Source organism: Homo sapiens, chromosome 2 (assembly GCF_000001405.40).
Source record: "Homo sapiens chromosome 2, GRCh38.p14 Primary Assembly".
Classification (NCBI taxonomy): domain Eukaryota; kingdom Metazoa; phylum Chordata; class Mammalia; order Primates; family Hominidae; genus Homo; species Homo sapiens.
The window spans coordinates 202,824,357-202,849,694 of NC_000002.12; the positions used below are offsets into that span (position 1 = coordinate 202,824,357).

The window sequence follows — 25,338 nt, forward strand, 5'->3', positions numbered from 1 at the left end:
GCCACTGCACTCTAGCCTGGGCGACAGAGTGAGACTCCACCTCAAAAAAAAAAAATTCTGTCCTTAAGGAGGGCATACTCTAGTGGTGGGAAGAAAAACAATGGACAAAATATACAGAATGTTGAATATTATTAACTGGACAGGGAGTTTTGAGGGAAAGGGGTATTGTATTGTATTGTATTTTTTGTACCCTCTGAGGGCAGAGAGTATTGCATTTTAGATATGCAGTTCAGGGAAGGCCTCATTTAAAAAGATGACATTTGACCAAATACCCAAAGGAAGTTAGGGATTCCACTATGCAGATATGCCTACTATGTAAGATATTAATATGGCTAAAGAGGAGAAGCTTTTAGGAGGTGTGATTAGAGAGGTAGCCATGTCCAGCAGGCCCACTGTAATTAAAAAAGGAGAAGAGATCCAAAGATTGAGTTTTAACCTGAACAAGTCCAGGAGAGAAGAGAATCAGCAAAGGCAGGATGCCAAGAAAGAGTGACCAGGAGGAGGAAAACCAGGAAAGCCAAGTGAAGAAAGTGTATCAAGGAATAGGAAATAATAAATGTGTTAAATAATGTGATAAGCCAGATTTAGAAGGAGTTGGTTAATCATGACCTTGACAAGAGAAATTTGGTGGAGTGATGGGGATGAAAACTTGACTGGAGTGAGTACAAGAGAAATTGGAAGGAAAGGAACAGAGATCATGAATACAGACAATTACATCACATTTTTCTGTAAAGAGCAGCAGAGGAATGGAATTTAACTGCAAGGGCAAGTGGGAGTCAAGAAAGAGAGGTTTAAGTGATGGAAACAAATCCATTTCAGATGCTGCGCAGGCCCAGGCATGGTGACTCACACCTGTAATCCCAGTACTTTGGGAGGTTGAGGCAGGAGGATCACTTGAGGCCAGGAGTTTGAAACCAGTCTGGGCAGCATAGTGAGACCCTGTGTCTACAAAAAAATACAAAAATTATCCAGGTATGGTGGCACACGCCTGTAATCCCAGCTACTTGGTAGGCTGAGGTGGGAGGATCACTTGAGCCCAGGTGGTGGAGACTGTAGTGAGCTGTGATTGCACCACTGCACTCCAACCTGAGTGACAGAGAAAGACCCTGTCTCAAAGAAAAAAAATATCAGCAAAAAATAAATCTGGGTCAGAGGATTTGATTAACTGAGGAAAGAAGAGAGAATACTGGGGCCTTTGAGAACAGGTAACTGTAAATATTCATATTTTGCCATAAGAAGCTATTCACAAAATTGTTTTTACATTAAATCTTTCATTTTAAAAAATGCTAATATTTATTTTAAATGGGGATTATCAGATAGATAACTATGATTTCATACCATTGAGTCTTAGCTGGTATTTCTCGATTATCTTCAGAAGTTCAGTGCATGTCTCTTGAACAGAGTGAAAAACCTTGAGATATAAATTTTATTAGGACAATTTAAAGAACTATAAACAAATATATGTTATAAGCACCCCAAAAGCATAACATTTTCTTCTAAGTATTATGTCTGTTTTAAAAACATTATGTCTATTTTTCTTGGCTATGACATGCTTCAGTTTTGGTTTTACTTCCGATGTAGAAAGCACATTCCCCCATGAGAGCTGGAAAAAAATGATAAATATATGGGAGCAAACAAAAAATTAAAACTGAAGAGTTTGTCCTCATCTCAGCTCCTGTCCTCATCTCAGCTCCAAACTATCTAAATAACAACAACATAAATCTAATATAAACTGCATCAAATATTGCCAACCACAGATGAGAGTGCAGATAACCTTACAAAGTATTAACTCGAAGTCTGGCTTTTCTCTCATACTGGTCTAAACAAAACAGATTAGTGAATTTACTATAAAAATTAAATAATGTATTATAACATCAAATATAAATTATTTTTATATTCTTTTTTTAGAATTTTCTATAGATATTAATTCTTTCATTACTACTGCTGCTAATTGCTAACAGAAAAGAAATAAAATATCCAGTAGACTCTCATTTCAAAATTAAGCACGTGAAAATTTGAGATGAGGCCACACTATATACATGACATAACTCTTCACACACATTAATGTAGGTGTTCCCAGATAAACAAGCAAGCATAAGTTTTACAGTACAGATACAATGAGGACTTTTTTTTGAGATGGAGTCTCACTCTGTCACCCAGGCTGGAGTGCAGTGGTGCAATCTCGGCTCACTGCAACTTCTACCGCCTGGGTTCAAGCGATTCTTCTGGCTCAACCTCCTGAGTAGCTGGGATTACAGATGCCCATTACCGTGCCCAGCTAATTTTTGTATTTTTAGTAGAGATGGGGTTTCACCATCTTGGCCAGGCTGGTCTTGAACTCCTGACCTTGTGATCCACCTGCCTCAGCCTCCCAAAGTTCTGGGATTACAGATTTTTTTTTTTTTTTAGCAAGGCCTGTCTGTTCAGAATCTACACTAAATAATTTTTATGTGACTTAGTTCAAGAAGACCTTGGTACTGCTATATAATATTAAGCCCTAACCCTTTTATTGTCAGATGCCTAATATCATCAAGAAGCCTGAACATTCTATCTGTGGAGCAGTTTTTATTATTATTTTGATGTTTGATCAAACCTAAAGAAGATTGATAATAAACACTAAAATCTTAAAAGGAGGAGCAGGCATCAATTTTCCTTATGAGTTTAGACATGTTTGAAGTGCATTTGGTATCTGGATTTGGCAATTGTAAAATCTGTTTTAAATGCATATGGAAGAAGATTAGAAAAGAATGCAAAAGGCTGGGCGCGGTGGCTCATGCCTGTAATTCCAGCACTTTGGGAGGCTGAGGCGGGTGGATCGCCTGAGGTCAGGAGTTTGAGACCAGCCTGGCCAGCATGCTGAAACCCTGTCTCTACTAAAAATACAAAAATTAGCCAGCCATGGTGGCAGGCTCCTGTAATCCCAGCTATTCAGAAGCTGAGGCAGGAGAATCGCTTGAACCCGGGAGGCGGAGGTTGCAGTGAGCCAAGATCGTGCCACTGCACTCCAGCCTGGGCAACAGAGTGAGACTCCATCTCAAAAAAAAAAAATACAGAAAAGATAGTTCTACTAAGATGAAGTGACTATGCTTGATTATTTTTTCCATAGGTCTTTGCAAGGTTTATGTACTATTTTTATTTTTATAATAAAACTGTTTCTCATTCTTAAAAAAATAGTACAAATGTGGGAGAAAGTTCTTGATTCCAAATATTCATCTAATGGCCAGATTTACACTGAATATAAAACATGTCACCCACAGATGACCTAACAATGTAAAACAATACCAAAACCTTATATATTCCCACTTCTATGGGAATATATCTGGAACAAGTTCCTGTTGCGTTAAAACATACAACACCAATAATAATAAAGTCTTCATTTTTACACATTTGTCATTGAATCCTAGAAATACTTTTCAACACAAATAGTAAAAGCTCGTTAAATTTTTATCTATTTCCATATTTGTTTTGGCAATGAGGTAAGTTTACTTTTTGCAGGATGAAAATACTTGATCAAGACCAGTTTAATTAGACTCATATTTTTAAGAATCCCACCATAATGATTATATTCCAAGCATAACAGAATCCCTGCTTAGAAATATTTGTTAAGAGTTAGCTTTAATTAGTATATATATGCTGAGTTAGTAAATCTGCATTTAAAAATTCAGACTTGGGCTGGGCACAGTGGCTTACCTGAGGTCAGGAGTTCGAGACCAGCCTGGCCAACATGGAGAAACCCTGTCTCTACTAAAAATACAAAATTAGCTGGGAATGGTGGTACATGCCTGTAATCCCAGCTACTCAGGGGGCTGAGGCAGGAGAATCCCTTGAACCTAGAAGGCAGAGGTGGTGGTGAGCCAAGATCGCCCCATTGCACTCCAGCCTGGGCAACCAGAGCGAACCTCCATCCAAAAAAAAAAAAAAAAACAGACTTTTTAATTCATTTATATTACACTCTTCTCTATTAGCCTAATTACTTTAAACCATTTATTGGTTTAAAATTGTTTCATGGCAATTATTTAAAATAAAAAACAGCCAAAAAAGGCATTAGGAAATATTTCAATAACTCTATCTTTTAATAAAATAGAAACAATAACTATTATCTTCATTTGCTATTTGATTTTAATTATTTCAGTGAGGTATAAGACTTCACATCAAAGTACTACAAAATAGTATGACTTGATATATAATGAGTATATGGTCTCAACTGGGAATGTAATCATTAAGACTTAGCTTGAAAACTATGCATGCCAGAGAAACTACTTTATTCATATTTTATCTAAGTTAGTGAATACCAATTTTGCAAATTTTCAGTTTGTGAGAGCCGTGACCTCCTATTCAGAGCTCTGATTGACAGATGGATACAACTAAACATTCTATTATCAAATTTGCATTTATCCTCATAAACTCTCCAGTGTGAAAACCTGTTGCAGTTCCCCTTGGAGCCCCAAATAATGGCTGGTTATATGCAATACATAGAATCCTCAAATTTACCTCAAGTTTAGCATCCAGTTCAGCATCAGACGCCACCAAGTGCTCATCCTCTTTTTTTCCTGTTGCTTTGATAAAGACCTGTTTAGTTTTCCAGTATTTCTTTTGCATTCTTCTGACTACTGACTGATTATCTTCTGGTCTGGGTTGCCCAAAGGAATCCATGGAGTGACTACAATGAACAGACTAAAATTAAACTTCTTTTAAAAATTCTCAATAATAGGCTGGGCACGGTGGCTCACGCCTGTAATTCCACAACTTTGGGAGGCTGAGGCGAGCGGATCACGCGGTCATGAGATCGAGACCATCCTGGCTAACACGGTGAAACCCTGTCTCTACTAAAAATACAAAAAAAAATTAGCCGGGCATGGTGGCGGGCGCCTGTAGTCCCAGCTACTCCGGAGGCTGAGGCAGAGAATGGCGTGAACCCGGGAGGCGGAGCTTGCGGTGAGCCGAGATCGCGCCACTGCACTCCAGCCTGGGAGACAAAGCGAGACTCCGTCTCAAAAACAAAAACAAAAAACAAACAAACAAAAAAACCAAAAAAAACTCAATAAATATGTTTAGCTAGCCAATATTTAATCTGACAAATGGAAAAAAGGTACTAAATGTAATTTTTTTTTAGAGTCAGGGTCTCGTTCCATCGCTCATGCTGGAGTGTAGTGGTGCAATCATAGTTCAGAATAATGTGGGCTCAAGCAATCTCCTGCCTCAGCCTCATGCAGCACTGGGATTACAGGTGCGAACTACCACATCTGGCCCCTAATATTAATGTTCTCAGTCAGACATGCTAATACTTGCTTTATATGGTCTAAATGTATGCTATAATTTCAACTTGCACAAGAAACAGGCAAAAGATTAATTATATTTATATTAATTTTAGTTAGATGACAAACGTAATAAAACTTACGATTTTGCAGTTATGTCTAGAAAAAATTATATTTTATTTGATATCTATTTATAGATGTTTATTACTTTCTAAGTTTTGCTTTTGTAATAAAACTGCAAAATAAACTTGTACATACATCTTTACATACTAGTATCAGTTCCTTAGGAAAATTTCCTATAGTTATAATCGCTATGTCAAACATCCATTTAATATTTTCAGATATGCAAAGATTCCAACACATACTCTTTAAAAATCACTCAAAGAAATATTTTAGTGTCCAATAAATCAACACAAATAAAGTCCTTAAGTATAAGGGAAGATATGTTATAAAAGAAATACAGATGGACATTGTAAACTGTAAACATAAAAATTAACATATGCTAGGTGCAGTGGCTCATGCCTGTAATCCCAACACTTTGGGAGGCCGAGGTGGGCAGATGCCGAGGTGAGTGGATCATGAGGTCAGGAGATCGAGACCATCCTGGCCAACATAGTGAAACCCTGTCTCTACTAAAATACAAAAAATTAGCCGGGCATGGTGGCACGTACCTGTAATCCCAGCTACTCAGGAGGCTGAGGCAGGAGAATCACTTGAACCCAGGAGGCGGAGGTTGCAGTGAGCCAAGATCACGCCACTGCACTCCAGCCTGACAACAGAGCGAGACTCCGTCTCAAAAAAAATAAAAAATAAAAAATAACCTCCAAGAAGTTATTCTTAACAAGGTTAACATGGCTATATAAGGAAATGCAGAGTGAAAAGTATTTCTTTAAGGATATGTAAAAAGAATAAATACTAATAACATTTTGGATCTAAAGCCCAAATTATTCCAACAAACTGTAAGAGTAGGAACAAAAGGGAAATACTAAAGTATGTGACTCATTCGTTATTTCCAGGCACATCGATACATGCTATTGTATTTTTCATGTTAGTAAAGAAATAGAGGTTCACTTTCTTTTAATTTGAAGTAATTACTAATTAAATAAAAATAGAATGTCTAATTTCCAAATTACTGGGGGTAAAACAAAAGAGCCAGAAAAACTTTAGCAAAAGCAAAAGACCGAGTGGGAAAAACAAGAGTAAGGCATGTAACACACAGTACAAAACAAGAAGATGGAAGAAGAACAATTATATTATTTAGTATGATAGATGCAAACTTCTTTTTAAATACAAAGAATCTCGAATCATAAAAAACAAAAATCGAAATCCAACTATATGCTATTTGAGATCTACCTAAAACAAAAGGACACAAAGATAAAAATAAAGATATGAGTTAAGATATACCAGGTAAATAGAAGCAAAATGAAATTAGAATAGCTATATTAATATCAGACAAAGTAGATTTAAATAAAAAGCATAAAATAGAACAAGGACAAGCTGTAAAGTCCACAAAGTGGCCAATTTTCCAGATAGCCTCTAGATTATTATCCTTTGGATATCCTCCCATATTCCTGGGCAGTATATATTAATCACCATTTAATTGCCAAACCTCTTAATATGTTATCCTGAATAATTTCTCTGGACATAATTTGGAATAGAGAGGGAATTTAATTTGGGTACCTAGGGAGCATGGATTTGATATAAGCATTATACTGTCCTGACACATCAAGCGTCTTGAGAGAAACTTAGTTTTTCTTTCCCATCCAGTTTCTTTCTGCTTTTGGTTGCTCTCAACTGCTTTCAGTCCTCCTCCTCCTTCCCTCCACTCCCAACTTTATAATTATCAGCAGTCCAACTATATGACAAACTGTTAATCTCTTCTACTAAACTGACTGCAGGTTTAGGCTCAATTCGAAGAACAAAATACTAGGGAGTATCAGGAGAGAATACCTCTCCCTACATCAACTTCCATATTGATGTAGCTCAAACAATATACTCCTGTCCTCGCAACCACTCTCTCCATATCTCTTTGGGAGAGAAAGAGTAACATCTGATTGGACAGCAAAAAACTAGACTCCTCCATTTCTGGAAACTATCTTGCCTGCAGAGGGCACACGTTCCCTGGCAAAGGGAGAAAGTGACTGGGAGGATAAATCTGCAAAAGGTGAGATTTGCACATTTGTGGTTTTTATGACCAAGGGCACTGCTAAATCTGCTTGCCACTGGGGGTAGGTTAGGCAGGAAGCCAAGTCTTACTGGCTTGACATATCAGATAACAGAGTTCAAGGCTGGCAGAACTATCAGATATTTAGGAGGGATTTCATAAAAGGGAGGGAGCCAAAGAGGAGGAAACCCCAAAATTTGTGTATAAAGTCCTCCCAAGACCTGTGCTAATCACTAAACGAATCATGAGGCAAGGGAGGGAAACCCAGGAATCGTGGCAGAAAATCAGCCATTGAAAGAGGAAATAACTAAGTGAAGATTTCAGCACTACCACTCCAGAGGAGACAGTTTGGAGTCTGAGTTCAGTCAAGTTAACTGGCTTCTAGAATAAAAATTCTTTTTCAGAGAAGCAAAACAGAATCCAGAATCTCTCAAATGCATCATTCAAAATCCCAAGTATCCAATCAAAAAACACTAGACATATAAAGAAATAGGAACATGTGACCCATACTCCAGTGGGGAAAGGGCAGTCAATAAAAACAGACTCCAGAGATTTCCCAGATATGGGAGGCTGAGGCAGGAAAATCGCTTGAACCCGGAAGGCGGAGGTTGCAGTGAGCCACTGCACTCCAGCCTGGTCGACAGAGTGAGACTCCGTCACAAAAAAAAAAAAAAAAAAAAGATTTCCCAGATACTGCAATTATGAGATAATTATTAAACCAACTATTATTAACATATACACAGACTTAAAGTAGGATGTATGCACAATAAATGAACACACTGAAAATATTAGAAAACAAGTAAAACTCAAACTCTCCAGTTACAAAGTTCAGTAACTGTAATTTAAAATTCACTGCAGCTGGATGTGGAGGCTCACACCTGTAATCCCAGCATTTTGGGAGGCTGATACAAGAGGATCTCTTGAGCCCTGAAGTTTGAGGTTACAGTGAGCTATGATTATGCCACTGCACTCCTGCCTGGGTGACAGACTGTGTGACAGACTGCCTCTTAAAAAAATAATAATAACTGGACAAGATTAAGAGCAAACTGAAGATGGCAGAAGTCAAAAGTTCTTCTTACCAAAAATTACCAATCTAAAAACTGGGGCAAGGGGTGGGAGGAGGAAGGAGGAGAACCCAAAGAAGAGATAGAATGGGATAGAAAAATATTCAAATAAATAAAACATCCCCAGATTTGTGAATGACATTAATTTACAGATCCAATAAGCTAAATGACAAACCCCACGCAGGATAATACAAAGAAAACACAAATAGACACATCACAGACAAACTGCTTAAATCTATATAGGGAAAAAAAAAGATAGCAAAGAAAACCTATCTTGAAAGCAACAGAGAAAAATGGCATATTACACACAAGGTAACAAAAATACAAACAGGTCAGTTCTCAATAAAAACAAAAAAAAGTCAGACTAAATGGAAGGATATATTTAAGGTACTGAGAGGAGAAAAACCTGTTGACCCCTAATTCCACATCTACTGAAACTGTCCTTTTAAAAATGAAAGTAGTGGGAGCACAGTGGCTCAGGCCTGTAATCCCAGGACTTTGGGAGGCTGTGGGGGAGGATCACTGGCGCCCAGGAGCTCAAGACCAGTCTGGCCAAGATGGCAAGACTCCATATCTACAAAAAAATAAAAGAAACATTAGCCATGTATGGTGGTGTGAGCCTTTAGTCCCAGCTACTCAGGAGGCTGAGGCAGAAGGATTGCTTCATCCCAGGAGTTTGAGGCTGCAGTGAACTATAATCACACCACTGCACTCCAGCCTGGGCGACAGAGTGACAGCCTGTCTCTAAAAAAATAAAAAATTAAAAAATAAAAAGAAGGAAAGCAAAATAAAGATATTTTCAAATAAAGCTCTGAGAGACTACCTGATCAGATCTGGAGACTTTCAGAAATGCTAACATTACAGATGTTATGTATATCACAGCTGAACATATTAAAAAATATGGTATATATACTCAATGGAATACTATTCAGCCTTTAAAAAGAAAGAAATCCTGTCATTTGTGACAACATGGATAAATCTGAAAGACAAATACCACATGATCTCAATTACATGTAAAATCTAAAAAAGTTGAACTAATAGACGTAGAGAGTAGAATGGTAGTTACCAGAGGCTGGGGGGAGGGGTATTGGGAAGATGTTTGTCAAAGGACACAAAATTTCAGTTAGGAGGAGTAAGTTCTATTGTACAACAAAGGGACTATAGTTAATAACAATGTATTATATTCTTGGAGATATCTATGAGGCAGGATTTTTAGTGTTCTTACCACAAAAAAAGATGAGGTAATACATATGTTAATTATGTTGATTTAGCCATTCCACAGTGTTTCAAACGTAATGTACATGACAAATATTTACCATTTTCTCAATTAAAAATAATTTTTGAAGTAAAATTTTAACAAATTCTTCAGTCTTAAAGAAAATTACACCAGATAATTTGGATTTATAGAAAAGAATGGAAGGACTGTAATTGTTAAATGTCCTGGTAAATATAAGATTATTGTTTCTTTCTTAATTTCTTCACATTATATAACTTTAACATGCATAGAGGCCGGGTGTGGTGGCTCACACCTGTAATCCCAGCACTTTGAGAGGCTGAGGCGGGTGGATAACTTGAGCTTGGGAGTTCAAGACCAGCGTGGGCAACATGGCAAGATCCTTTCTCTACAAAAAATACAAAAATTAGCTGGGCGTGGTGCAAGTACCTGCAGTCCCTGCTACTAGGGAGGCTGAGGTGGGAGGATCACTTGACACTGGGAGGTGGAGGTTGCAGAGAGCCAGGATTGTGCCACTGCACTCTAGCCTGGGTGACAGAGCCAGACTCTGTCTCAAAAAAACAAAAACAAAAAACCCTACCACACACAGACAACAATAAAATAGCAGCTCAATTATCAAGGTGCTGCCATTTTAAAAACATCATTGATATGTTTACTCATTCTTTACCACCTCACTCCATCATCATCATCATATAGTTCTTTTTCATTAAATTTACATACACTGAAATCTCTAATTTTTAGCTATATATTTTTTTCATTACTTATTTTACTTACAGATTCAGGGTCTCACTCTGTTGCCTGGGTTAGAGTACAGTGGCACAATCATAGCTCACTGCAGTCTCAAACTCCTGGGCTCAAGTAATCCTCCCACCTAAGCTTCTGGAGTAGCTGGGACCACAGGCAACACACCAACATGCCTGGCTAATTTATTTTTATTTTTGTAGTGACAATGTCCCACTATGTTGCCCAGGCTTACTTATTTTTAATTGACAAGTAAAAATTGTATATATTTATATTTATGATGTATGACATAATGTTTTAAAATGTGTATACATTTTAAATCTCCTTGGTTAAATTTATTCCTAAGTATTTTAATTTTTTTACTAGCTACTGTCAATGGCATTGTTTTATTGATTTCTTCCTTTTTTTTTTTTTTTTTTTTTTTGACAGAGTCTTGCTCTGTTGCCTAGGCTGGAGTGCAGTGGTGCTGCAGCCTCCACCTCCCAAATTCAAACAATTCTCCTGCCTCAGTCTCCTGAGTAGCTGGGATTACAGGTGCATGCCACCACACCTGGCTAATTTTTGTATTTTTACTAGAGACAGGGTTTCACCATGTTGGCCAGGCTGGTCTCAAACTCTTGACCTCAAGTGATCCTCCCACCTTGGCCTCCCAAAGTGCTGGGATTACAGGCGTGAGGGACCCCACCTGGCCAGATTTATCAGATAGTTTGTTGTTAGTATGTAGAAATGCTACTGATTTTTTTTTTTTTTGAGACGTAGTCTTACTCTGTTACCCAGGCCGGAGTGCAATGGCATGATCATGGCTCACTGTAACCTCAAACTCCTGGGCTCAAGCAATTCTCCCACCTCAGGCTCCCAAGCATCTAGGACTACAGTTTGTGCCACCACACCTGGCTAATTTTTTTTTTATTTTTTGTAGAGATGGGTGTCTCACTATGTTGTCCAGGCTGGTCTCAAACTCCTGTCTTCCAGTGATCCTTCCACCTCAGCCTCCCAACGTCCTGGGATTACAGTTATAAACCACCATGTCTGACCACTACTGATTTTTGTGTTAATTTTGTATCCTGCAACTTTACTGAATGTATTACTTGTAATAGTTTTTTGGTGGAGTCTTCAGAGTTTTCTAAATATAAAATCACATTGTCCGCAAACAGACGATTTAACTTCTTCACTGACAATCTGAAAGCCTTTTATTTCTTTCTCTTGCCTAATTATTCTAGCTAGGAGTTCCAATACTGTGTTGAATGGAAGCGCTGAAAGTGGGCATACTTGTCTTGTTCTTGATTTCAGAAAAAAAAACTTTCAATTTTTCACTGAGCATTATGTTAGCTACGGGCTTGTCATACAAGGCCTTTATTACGTTGAGAGACATTCTTTCTCTACCTCATTTGTTGAGTGTTTCTGTCATGAAAGGATGCTGAATTTTGTTGAATGCCTTTTTTGTATCTATTGAGATAATTATAAAGTTTTTGTCCTTTATTCTGTAAATATGGTGTATCACTATTGATTCGCATATGGTGAATATGCAGATTCACAGTGATAAATCCCACTTGATCATGGTGAATGACCCTTCTAATGTGCTGTTGAATTTGGTTTGCTAGTATTTTCTTGAGGATTTCTGCATCTATGTTTATCAAAGATATTGGCCTATAATTTGCTTTTCTTGTACTGTTTTTGTCTGCCTTTGGTATCAGGCCTTTGTAAAATTAGTTTGGAAGATCTCCTTCCTTTTCAATTTTTTGGAAGAGTTTCAGAAGGATTGGTTTTAATTGTCTAAATGTTTGGTAGTATTCAGTAGTGGCATCATCAAGTTTGGCCTTTTCTTTAATGGGAGACTTCTTATTACTGATTCAATCTCCTTACTCATTATTGGTCTTTTCAAATTATCAATTTCTTCATGATTTAGTCTTTATAAGTTGGTATGTGTCTAGGAATTTACCCATTTCTTTTAGGTTATACAATTTGTTAGTGTGTGTATATCTATATATATAGATATATATAGATATATAGATATAGATACAGATATATAGATATAGATATTTTTTTAGATGGAGTCTCATTTGGATGCCCAGGCTGGAGTGCAGTGGCACGATCTTGGCTCACTGCAATCTCCACCTCCCGGGTTCAAGCAATTCTCCTGCCTCAGCCTCCCAAGTTTCTGGGATTACAGGTGTGTGCCACCAAGCCCAGGTAATTTTTGTATTTTTATTAGAGATGGGGTTTCGCCATGTTGGCCAGGCTGGTCTTAAACTCCTGACCTCAAGTGATCCGCCCACCTCGGCCTCCCAAAGTGCTGGGATTATAGGCATGAGCCACTGCACCCGGCCTGTGTATCATTTTTTATAGTAGTCTATGATCCTTTGTATTTCTGTGGTATCAGCTGTAATGTCTCCCTCTTTCATTTCTGATTTTAAGCATTTCCTCTTTTTTATTAATCTAACTAAAGGCTTACCAATTTTCCGTTGTTGTTTTTTTTTGTTTTTGTTTTTTTGAGACAGAGTCTCTGTCACCCAAGCTGGAGTGCAGTGGTGCGATCTCGGCTCACTGCAAGCTCCACCTCCCGGGTTCACGCCATTCTCCTGCCTCAGCCTCCTGAGTAGCTGGGATTACAGGCGCCTGCCACCACACCCAGCTAATTTTTTGTATTTTTAGTAGAGACAGGGTTTCACCGTGGTCTTGATCTCCTGACCTCGTGATCCGCCCACCTCAGCCTCCCAAAGTGCTGGGATTACAAGCGTGAGCCACCGCACCCGGCCTTCTCTTTTCAAAACCAGCTCTTCTTTTAATCTTTTCTACTGTTTTTCTAGTCTCTATTTATTTCTGCTCTGATATTTATGATTTTCTTCTTTCTCCTAACTTTGGGCTTAGTTTGTTCATCTTTTTCTAGTTCCTTAAGGGATAACATTAGGTTGTTTATTTAGGGCTTTTCTTTTTTTTTTGATACAGGCATTCATTGCTATAAACTTCTCTCTTCGAACTTCTTTTGCAACATCTCTTAAGTTTTGGGATATTGTATTTCCATTTTTGTTTGTTTCAAGATTTTATTTATTTGTCTTGAGATGGAGTTTCACTCTTGTTGCTCAGGCTGGAGTGCAATGGTGTGATCTGGGCTCACTGCAACCTCTGCCTCTCGGGTTCATGAGATTCTCCTGTCTCAGCCTCCCAAGGAGTTGGGATTATAGGCGCCCACCACCACGCCTGGCTAATTTTTTGTATTTTTAGTAAGGCGGGGTTTCACCATGTTGGCCAGGCTGATCTCGATCTCCTGACCTCAGGTGGCCCACCCACCTCGGCCTCCCAAACTGCTGGGATTACAGGTGTAGCCACTGTTCCCAGCAGTTTTAAGATTTTTAAAATTTCCTTTTAAATTTCTTTTTTGACACGTTTGTTGTTTAGGATCATGATGTTTAATTTCCACATATTTGTGAATTTTCAAATGTTCTTATTATTTCGAGTTTCATACCATTGCAATTGAAAAAGCTACCTAATTTCAATTAATAAATTTTTAAGACTTATATTGTGGCCTAAGACATGATCTATTCTGGAGAATGTTCCATGTGTTCTTGAGAAGAATTTGTATTCTGTTAATATTGGATGGAATGTTCTGCATATATATGTTATATCCATTTGGTCTAAAATGTAGTTGAATTCCAGTGTTTCCTTACTGAATTTCTTTCTGGGTATCTGTCCATTGTTGACAGTGGGGTATTAAAGTCTCCTATTATTGCATTGCTATCTATCTCTTCAGATCTATTAATATTTGCTTTATATATTTAGGAACTCTGATGTTGCATGTAACACATATTTGCAATTATTATATCTTCTTGATGAATTGATCCCTTTTCATTATATAATAATTGTCTCATTTTATAGTTTTTTGACAAAGTGTGTGTCAATTTCTGTGTTGCTATAAAGAAATACCTGAAGCTGGGTAATTTATAAATAAAAGAGGTTTAATTGGCTCATGGTTCTGCCGGTTGTACAGGAAGTACGGTGCTAGCACTGCTTCTGATGAGGCCTCAGGGAGCTTTTCCTTATGGTGGAAAGGGATTGGGATCCAGTGCATCACATGGTAAGAAAAGGAGTAAGAGAAGAAGGGCGAGGCACAATACTCCCTTAAACAACCAAATCCCGTGAGGACTCACTTATCACCATGGGGACAGTACCAAGCCATCCATGAGGGCTCTGCTCCAAGATCCAAACACCTCTCACCAGGCCCACCTCCAACACTGGAAGTCATATTTCAACATCAGATTGGGAGGGGACAAAATATCCAAACCATATCGGTGTACTGCACCTGATATAATTATATCTAACCCCACTCTCTTTTGGTTCCATTTGAATGGAATCTTTTTCCATCCTTTCAGTTAATCTAAATGTGTCCTTAAAGGTGAAGTGAGTCTTGGCTGGGCGCGGTGGCTCAAGCCTGTAATCCCAGCACTTTGGGAGACTGAGGCAGGTGGATCACAAGGTCAGAAGATCGAGACCGTCCTGGCTAACAAGGTGAAACCCCGTCTCTACTAAAAATATAAAAATTAGCTGAGTGTGGTGGCAGGCACCTGTAGTCCCAGCTACTCAGGAGGCTGAGGCAGGAGAATGGCATGAACCTGGGAGGCAGAGCTTGCAGTGAGCCAAGAGTGCACCACTGCACTCCAGCCTGGGCAACAGAGTGAGACTCCGTCTCAAAAAAAAAAAAAAAAAAAAAGGTGAAGTGAGTCTCTTCCAGGCAGCATACAGTTAAGTCTGTGTGTGTGTGTGTGTGTGTGTGTGTGTGTGTGTGTGTGTGTGTGTGTGTGTGTGTGTGTTTTGTTTTGTTTTTTAACCTATTCAGCCAGTCTGCCTTTTGGTTGAAGAATTTAATCTATTTACATTCAAGGTAATTATTGATAGGTAAGGACTTAGTACTACCATTTTGTTCATTGTTTTCTGGTTGTTTTACAGCTCTTTTGTTCTTTTTTCCTTTCATGCCTTCTTCCTTTGTGATTAGACGATTTTTCTCTAGTGGTATGCTTTAATTCCTTACTTTGTATCTTTCGTTTATCCACTATAGGTTTTTGCTTTGTGTTTACCATGAGGCTTACATAAAACAGCTTATAGTTATAACAGGCTATGTTAAGCTGATTACAACTTAACTTTGATTGTATACACTTTACCCTGCCTGACATTTTATGGTTTTGATGTCACAATTTACATCTTTTTATATTGTATATCCCTTAATAAATTATTGTAGCCATTATTATTATTTTTTTTAATTTTTAATTTTTTTTTTTTTTTGCAGAGCTAGCTGAGGTTTTATTTTGGACCAAAAAAAAAAAAAAAGCGATTGAATTGTTTTGTAGCTGGAGGAATGGGCAAGGGGGATCCCCAGGCAGTAAACTCACGAACGGGTGGGCTGAGGGCTAGGGCTGAGCCTCAGGTGGGTCTCCTGTTCCCTGTGCTCCCCTGCACAGCGGCCTCCCTCCCAAGCTCTGGGGCAGCTGCAGGAGGGGCACACTGGGAGGAGCTGCTGCAGCTGTTCACTTGGGCAGGACATCAGAGGACTCGGACACCAGCTTCCCATCGTGGATCTCAATCTTCTTCACAACTATGGCCCTGGTGAAGCTGGTGTGGCTGAAGGAGATGGAGCCCATGCCAGAGCCAAAGCTGGAGCCGAGGCCATAGCTGAGGCTGGGGCTTGTGAGACCCTCATAGGCCGAGCTCAGACCACCTGCATAGCCACTGGTGGTCTTCATATGGATATTCATGTTCTGCATCCCAGACTCCAACTGGCTCTCCTCGCCCTCCAGCAGCTTCCTGTAGATGGTGATCTTGATGTCCAGGGCCAGCCTGATGTTCGTCAGTTCCTGGTACTCATGCAGCTGCTACGCCATGTCCTGCTTGGCCCGCTGCAGGGCAGCCTCCAGCTCGGAGAGCTTGGCATTGGCATCCTTAACAGCCAACTCCCCACACTGCTAGGCATCTGCGATGGCAGCCTCCAGGGAAACTCTCTGGCCTTTGAGGCCCTCAATCTCAGCCTGGAGCTGGCTGACGTTCTGGTTCATCCCAGATCTCAGTCTTTGCATGCCGCAGGTCATCCCCGTGCTTCCCAGCCAGCGTCTGCAGTTCCTCATACTTGATCTGGTACATGCTCTCAGCCTCAGCCTGGCTGTGGTTGGCCATCTCCTCATACTGCGCCTTGACCTCAGCGATGATGCTGTCCATGTCCAGGGAGTGGCTGTTGTTCATGCACAGCACCACAGATGTGTCCAAGATCTGGGACTGCAGCTTCTGGATCTCCTCTTCATACAGCTGCCCGAGGAGGTTGATCTCTTCAGTCAGCCCTTCCAGGCAAGACTCTAGCTCTACCTTGTTCATATAAGCTTCATCCACATACTGCCTGATGAGGACAAATTCATTCTCCATCTCTGTACGTTTGTTGATCTCATCCTCATATTTGTTCTTGAAGTCTTCCACCAGCCCTGGCATGTTGCCAAGCTCTGCCTCCAGCTTCAGCCTTTCCAAGCCCAGAGTCTCCAGCTGCTGCTTAAGGCTGTTGATGTAGCTCTCGAACATGTTGTCCGTGTTGCTCTAAGCCATCTTCTGCTGCTGCAGGAGGGCTCCACTTGGTCTCCAGCATCTTGTTCTGCTGCTCCAGGAATTGTACCTTGTCTATGGAGGAGGCAAATTTGTTGTTGAGGGTCCTTCTCCTGGGTGCACACGGCCTGGATGTTGGGTTCCACCTCCAGGTTAAGGGGGCTCAGCAGGCTCTGGTTGACTGTGACAGCAGTGATGCTTCCCATGCCACTGGCCCCACCATAACTTCCACCCAGGACACCCCGAAAGATGCTGCTGCCCACTCGGGAGAAGCTCAAGGAGCTGATGCAGGCACCGGGCCCACGCGCATAGGAGCAGTTGCCGAAGGCCTGGGGGCCAGAGGACCACCTCTGGTGGACACCTTGTAGGACTTCTGGGTCACCATGATGGACATGGTTGATGCAGGAGTGGAGGCAGGTGGGCTGAACCAGATGGAGATCCCAGAAGGAGCAGGGAAGCTGCTTCTTGGTCTATTTTTTTTTTTTTTTTAGATAGAGTTTTGTTCTTGTTGCCCAGACTGGAGTGCAGTGGCATGATCTTGGCTCCTTAACCTCCCAGGTTCAAGTGATTCTCCTGCCTTAGTCTCCCGAGTAGCTGGGATTACAGGCACCTACCACCAGGCCCAGCTAATTTTGGTATTTTTTTTTAGTGAAGACGAGGTTTCACCATGTTGGCCAGGCTGGTCTCGAACTCCTGACCTCAGGTGATCTGCCTGCCTCAGCCTCCCAAAGTGCTGGGATTACAGGCATGGGCCACCGCACCAGGCCTATTGCAGCCATTATTTTTAATAGTTTTGTTTTTTAACATTCATATTAAAGACCCACCATTATACTATTATTCTAAATTTGTGTAATTGTACCAATGAGTTTTATACTTTTAGATGTTTTTGTGTTACTCATTAGCATCCTTTCCTCTCAGCTTGAAGAACTCCCTTTATCATTTCTTGTAAGACACATCTGGTGGTGATGAACTACCTCAGTTTTTGTTTGAGAAAGCTTTTATCTCCATCATTTCTGGAGGTCTACTTTGTCAAGTAAAGTATTGTTGTTTGACAGTTTTATTTTTTCCTTCAGCACATGGAATTTATCATCCCACTCTCTACTGGCCTGTAGGTTTCTCCTGAGAATCCACTTCTAGCCTTATTGGAACTCCTTTGTATGTGATTTGCTTTTCTCTTGCTACTTTCAGGATGCTCTCTTCATCTTTGATTTTTGACAGTTTGATTATATCTTAGTGTAATCTTGTTCAGGTTGAATCTGATTGGAGACCTTTGACCTTCTCATACCTGGATATTTATACCTTTCCTCAGATTTGGAAATTTTTCTGCTATTATTTATTTAAGTAAACTTTCTGGTCCTTTGTCCCTCTCTTCTTCTGCTTAAACTCCTATAACTAGGATATTTGCTCTTTTGAGAAAATCTTATAAGCTTTAAATCTTCTAAGCTTCATTTTTTCTTCTCTGACTGTATGTTTTGAAATAATCTGTCTTTGAGTTCACATATTAATTCTTCTGCTTCATCAAGTCTGCTGTTAATGCTCTCTACTGCATTTTTTAGTTCATTAATTGTATTTTTCAGCTCCAGAATTTGATTTTTTTAAAAAAATAATTTTAATCTGTTACATTTCTTATTTTGGTCATCTATTGTTTTGCTGATTTCAGTGAAATGTTTCTCTGTATTTTTCTTTAAATTCACTAAACTTAAAGCAATTATTTTATATTATTTGAGAGGCAGTTTATATATGTCCATTTCTTTGGGGTCAGCTACTGGGAGGTTATGTTTTTTAGGTGGTATTATGTCTCCCATTTTTCTTGTTGCCTTACATTAATGTCTGTGCTCTTAGTGGAACAGTTACCTTTTGTAGACTTTATGGGCTAGTTTCATTGTGGACTGACTTTCCTCCATGGGGTGGGGTGCAGTGGTTCTGGCACTAGTCAGGGTGCCAGCTGTGTGGTCTCTGTGCAGCTCTGTCTGCTGAGATTGGTATGGATAAAAATCACAGGGATCCATAGCAACCAACGTTCTGAGTTTCTGCAGTGGCGCAAGAGTTGTTGGGGTCTTTGGTGGCAATGACTGCTAAGATCACCCCAATCTATTTTTTTTCCCATCAGAGAAGCTATGGCTGAAGGGATCCCTCTTGGCACTGGTGCCTGATGAGTAGCACCCATGGAATAATCACAGAACTCAGGCCTGATGCACAAATGTGTGGAGGTACTGCAGTTCTGAGTTCCCAGGTAGTAATGGCATTGGTGTCTGGGATGCAGGGATCCTTGCTGCTGTGTAACAGAATGCGAGATGCAGATGCTTGTTAAACAGCTAAGAGAACTGAGAATAAGAGCACTAGTGAGTGCAGCATTAGAGTAGCTCTAGGATTGGGGTAAAGCCAAGATCTCTGTGGCAGCAGAGCTGGTACCCAGCGTTCAGCCACACACAGCAAGAGCTTGGCTCTAGGGCCCAGGGTGCAAACTCTTTAGCTGTATACTTTTGACAAATGGATATCTTATATAGAACATTTCCAACTTCCCAGAAAGTTTCCTTGTATCACTTTCTTGCCAATCCCTACCTTATCAGAAGCAATGAATGTGTTTTTTTTCCTTAGCTTTTCCCAGTTTATTCTTTTTGATTGTTGAATAGAATTCCATTGTATCAATATACCAGTGTTTCCAGTTTGGGACTATTGTAAATAAGGCTGTTATGAACATACCTATACAAGTATTTTTGCAGAAAAATGTTTTCATTTCTCTTGGATAAAAATCCAGAATTGGATTTGCTGTGTCAAAGGATTGGTGTACCAGCCTCAGCAACAAAGTGAGACCCCATCTCTACCAAAAATAAAAAAATTAGCCATACATTGTGGCATATGCCTGTAGTCCCAGCTACCTGGGATGCTGAAGTGGGAGGATCACTTGAGCCCAGGAGTTTGAGGCTGTAGTGAGCTATGAATGTGCCACTGCACTACAGCCAGAGGGACACAGTGAGACCCCATCTCAAAAAATCTATAAAAAAAGAAAATTAAAATTAAAAAAATAAAAAATAAACAAATAAGGAGTAGCAGCTGGAGGCCAACATATAATTTTTGCTACTGACAATGGTCAAGTTTCTGGATATAGCTTACTGTGAGAGCCAAATAATCTTCATAACCGAGCACTAAAATTAAATTCAACAAGCCAGTCAGAGGTAACTGAATCACCAGAGGCTTCCCTGTATGAGAGAAGAAAGAAGGAATTGAGATAAACTTGCCCAATTTTTGCTTCCCAAATTTACCAGACAAGCCACTCCTCCTCTAGAAAGAAATGAGAGGGTAGAGAGAGACTAGGAGTTAAACTAATTGAGCTCCTTTAACATAGGAGGAAACGTCAAGAATGAGAAAGATATATTCCCTGTGTATTAATTTCCTACTGCTGCTATAAAAAATGATCACAAACTTAGTAACTTACAACAAAATTAATTTACTGTCTTCCCATTCTGGAGGTCAGAGTCCTAAAATAAAGTTGTCAGACGGCTGCATTTCTTCTGGAGGCTACAAAGGAGAATCCATTTCATTGTCTTTTATAGCTTTTAGAAGCCACTTACATTTCCTGGCATGTGGTCCCCCTTCCTCCATCTTTAAGGCCAGCAGCATAGCATCTTCTAATCTTTCTCTAATTCTATATGTCATCACATTGTCTTATCTTCTTCTGACCTTTCTGCCTTCCCCTTAAGAAGACCTATGTGATTATATTGGACACACCTAAATAATCCAGGATAATATCCCCATCTCAATATCCTTAACTTAATTACATCTTCAAAGTCTCTTTGAACACAGTCTCTTGCAACAGAAAGTAACATATTCATAGGTTTCAGGAATTAGGACATGGACATCTTTGGAAGGCCATTATTCTACTACAGCCTCTATCAGTTTTCACTCTTATTTAGCAAAAGGATAGGCTCAAGTAATTTCTTCATAAAAGATACTTGAGGCCCGGCATGGTGGCTCATACCTGTAATCCCAGCATTTTGGGAGGCCAAGGCGGGTGAATTACTTGAGGCCAGGAGTTCAAGACCAGCCTGGCAAACATGGTGAAACCCTGTTTCTACTAAAAATATACAAATAAGCTGGGCGTGGTGGCAGGCACCTGTAATCCCAGCTACTTGGGAGGCTGAGGCAGAAGAATCACTTGAACCCGGGAAGCGGAGGCTGAAGTAAGCCAAGATCACGCCATTGCACTCAAGCCTGGGCAACAGAGCAAGAATCTGTCTTAAAAAAAAAAAAAAGGAATACTTTATTCCTTTTTACACTATACAGTATTTAAATTTTCAGCTGTGTCCTGGATTTGGAATTCAAATCTTAAGTAAAATAAAACAAATCAATAATCTCTTTAGAGGTAGATTTGTATTCACTTATAACGTCTCATTACTATGACATCACTGAAAAGCAAGTGGAACTGATATTAATGTGCACACTGAAGCACTGAAATCCTCTTGAGAAAAATAATCTGTGAAGACTTTTGACTTAATATAACACTAGTGTTTGATGCAATTAAGAAAATATATTAGTCAAACCTGCTGTTTAACATAGTAGTCCTGCTTACTCTGGCTCCTAAGCCATGAGTTTTCTTACGAACACAATCAACATTCCTCAGAGTGACGGTTTATAAATAATTCAACTTTGGAAGGGGGGAACTGGTAGGAAATGCTCAAAAATGTCGGCAATGGTTTTCTCTGCAGTGGGATCATGGATGACAGTTTACTGTAGTTTCTGATAGTTTTCTGCAGCAAATTTGCTACAATTAACATGTATAACTATTATTTGAATAACTATTATTATTATAAAAATGTTTTCTTATCAAGACCAGTTATACTTTTACCCTTTTTGGTTTTTCTTTCTTTCTTTTTTTTTTAGACAAGATCTTGCTCTGTTGCCTAGGCTGGAGTGCAGCAGTGCCATTATGCTCTGACCTCCCAAGCTCAAGTGATCCACACGTGCATGCCATCACACTTGGCTAATTTTTTTTTCTTTTTTTTGTAGAGATCCTAAGACTGTGCCCTCACCCCCACTAGACCAGAGACTGGTTGCAAGTCAGGGTCTCCAGAACTTCTGACCCACCAGCTTCAAGTGGGGGGTTCCCAAGACTCCTTTTTGGGCTCGATTAATTTGCCAGAGTGGTTCACAGAACTCAGGGAAACACTCAGAGTCTCAAGGCAGGTCAAAGGAGGGCAGAAGGTCAGAGGCCTGTCCCTGAAGCCTAACACACCCAACACTGTAACAAGACTGTAATGAGAGCTACGGAAGTTAGGAACCAGCAAATGTTGATAAAAAATAACACCACACTATCCAACACTTGCAAGCCCTTATCCAAAAGTGAGTCATTCATTCATTCATTCATTCATTGTTAAATATATATTAAGTGCTTATAGTTTTATGTAGCAATCTTACCTGAAATGTGACTAATAATCAGTAAGTGCATATAAAAATATCTGAGAAGTTAAAATAGTTATTACAAGACTATATATTAAATCACATGAACTTTATTTGTAAGGGAGCTGGTCTCCCCCTCTCCTGCTAACAATCGAACACCTAATTAATAACAGAAATAGGATTGAAATTCTGATGTGCTGGGTACCATGAGTGAAATTTCCTTTGAACTGTATGTTGAAGAAAAACAGATTTTAACAGCAGGAGGCAAGGAAATACTATTCCAAATACAGGCTGAAGAAGAGAAAGGCAGATTGATGGTACAGATTGTAGAGACCTGTTTAGCAGAGAGACTAAACACAGAGAGTTCAGAACAATCTCTCCATATTCCAGACATAATCTAATAAAAGCCTGGACCAAGCCATTAGTGTAAGAATGGCTATAAAGGCAGATATCTACAGAACTTGGTAAATAATGATTAAGCAGTTTTGCCCCAGAAAAATAAGGGCAATTAGAAGAAGCAGTTCTCTAAGTGGGAAGGTTACACATTTCATCTGTGACATCTTGAATCTGAAATGATCAAGAACATCAGAGTTTTCCAAAATTTCCAACAGGTAATTAAAACTGTAGTAATAAAAAATTGTTTCAAGCTTGGGTCTCTAGTCAGACTGTCTAGGTTTGAACCTAAGAACTTTTTTTTATTAGCTGTGGGACCTCGTGCAAGTTACATTAATCTCTCTTTTAGTTTCCTCATCAGTAAAATACGAATAATGAAGTAAATGGATTGTTATAAGAATTAAATGAGAAATATATGTAAAGTGCTTGGAATAGAAATTGCTGGCACTTAAGAATTCATGTTATATTTTTTCATTTTACTTTTTATCAGAGCTTAGAATGAAATATTATATGGGAATTATATATATATATAGTTAAGCAGTGAGAACAAATGAGACCTTCAATAAAATAGAAAGGGTGGTAAACAAAAAGATACAGGCACTTGTATGTTCACTGCAGCATTAGTCTCAATAGCAAAAACATGGAATCAACCTAGATACACATCAACAGTGGGCTGGATAAAGAAAATGTGATACATATACACCATGGAATACTATGCAGCCATAAAAAAGAACAAAATCATGTCCTTTGCAGCAATACGGATGCAGCTGGAGGCCATTTTCCTAAGCAAATTAATGCAGGAACAGAAAATCAAATGCCACATGTTTTCATTTTTAAGTGGGAACTAAACATTGAGTACACATGGACATAAAGATGGGAATAGTAGACACTGGGGACTACTGGAGTGGGGAGAAGGGAGGAGGTGTTGAGATTAGCCACCATGCCCGGCTAATTTTTGTATTTTTAACAGAGATGGGGTTTCGCCATGTTGGGCAGGCTGGTCTCGAACTCCTGACCTCAGGTGATCCACCTGCCTCGGTCTGCCAAAGTGCTAGGATTACAGGCGTGAGCCACCGCGCCCAGCCAAACAGCATATTTTTAAACTTTTGGTTGACTATGTGAAAGTGCCAACATTAGGCCATTTTTTACCTATAAAAACAGCAATTGCATGGGACTCAATCTAATAAAAGGAACCGAAACAAGTTTACTGAAGTGATCTAACTCATTTCAGAAGAAAGTCATCTGTGGGCAAATGATCTCCCTAACCAAGAACATGTCCCAGCTCAATTCAGAGATCTGAGCTGACTGGCAAACTATGGCCTGCTGGCAAATTAGTCTTTAGCTGCTTTCTTGCTACAAAGGCAGTTAGGTACATCCAGCAAATTGCACAGCCCACAAAGCAAAAAATTATTTACTATTTGGCCATTTACAGAAAAAGTCTGCAGACCCCTGATCTCAGCCATGGTTCTAAAATATAGTCTGAAAAGTCATAAATCTCTTTAAGTTGTATTATTGTAATAAGACAATGTCTAGTCTTTGTATACATACATATATATTTTGTGTGTGTACAGATATATATAGTCATGCACCGCATAATGACATTTTAGCCAGTGATGGACCATATATACAACAGTGGTCCCATAAAATTATAACGGAGCAGAGATCTGGCAAAATGGCCGAATAGGAACAGCTCTGGTCTGCAGCTCCCAGGGAGACAAACGCAGAAGGCAGGTGATTTCTGCATTGCCAACTGAGGTACCCAGTTCATCTCACTGGGACTGGTTAGGCAGTGGGTACAGCCCACGGAGGGCAAGCAGAAGCAGGGTGGGGCGTTGCCTCATCCAGGAAGTGCAAGGAGCTGGGGCCCTCCCTCCCCCAGCCAAGGGAAGCCACGAGGGACTGTGCTGTCTGGCCCAGATACTATGCTTTTCTCACAGTTTTTGCAATCCGCAGACCAGAAGATTCCCACATGTGCCTATACCACCAGGGCCCTGGGTTTCAAGCACAAAACCGGGTGGCTGTTTGGGCAGACACCGAGCTAGCTGCAGGAGGTTTTTGTTTTTGTTTTTGTACCCCAGTGGTGCCTGGAACCCCAGCGAGACAAAACCGTTCACTCCCCTGGAAAGGGGGCTGAGGCCAGGGAGCCAAGTGGTCTCGCTCAGTGGGTCCCACTCCCACAGAGCCCAGCAAGCTAAGAACCACTGGGTTGAAATTCTCACTGCCAGCACAGCAGTCTGAAGTTGATCTGGGACGATCAAGCTTGGTGGGGGCAGGGGCATCTGCCATTACTGAGGCTTGAGTAGGCAGTTTTCCCCTGACAGTGCTAAGGAGGCCAGGCAGTTTAGACTGGGCAGAACTCACCACAGTGCGGGAAAGTGGCTATGGCCAGACTGCCTCTCTAGACTCCTCCTCACTGGGCAGGGCATCTCTGAAAGAAAGGCAGCAGCCCCAGCCAGGGGTTTTTAGATAAAACTCCCATCTCCCTAGGACAGAGCACCTGGGGGAAGGGGCAACTGT

General features: G+C 40.0%; 1 protein-coding gene and 1 pseudogene across 4 annotated transcripts in view; both read right to left on the reverse strand.

Annotated features, from left to right (window-relative positions):
* ICA1L (islet cell autoantigen 1 like) overlaps positions 1-25,338 on the reverse strand; it is a 98,591-nt gene that overhangs the window by 51,181 nt on the left and 22,072 nt on the right. For 3 of the 4 annotated variants that reach the window (NM_001288622.3, NM_138468.7, NM_001288623.2), the window contains 2 exons: positions 4,492-4,660; positions 1,339-1,411 (listed from right to left, as the gene is read on the reverse strand). In NM_001288622.3, coding sequence (NP_001275551.1) covers positions 1,339-1,411; positions 4,492-4,653 — 235 coding nt within the window. In that variant the 5' untranslated portion in view covers positions 4,654-4,660. Of the gene's footprint in view, positions 1-1,338; positions 1,412-4,491; positions 4,879-25,338 lie in introns of those variants that run through there. The other variant, NM_001288624.2, reaches the window with a different exon arrangement.
* Positions 15,730-17,501, reverse strand: KRT8P15 (keratin 8 pseudogene 15; annotated as a pseudogene).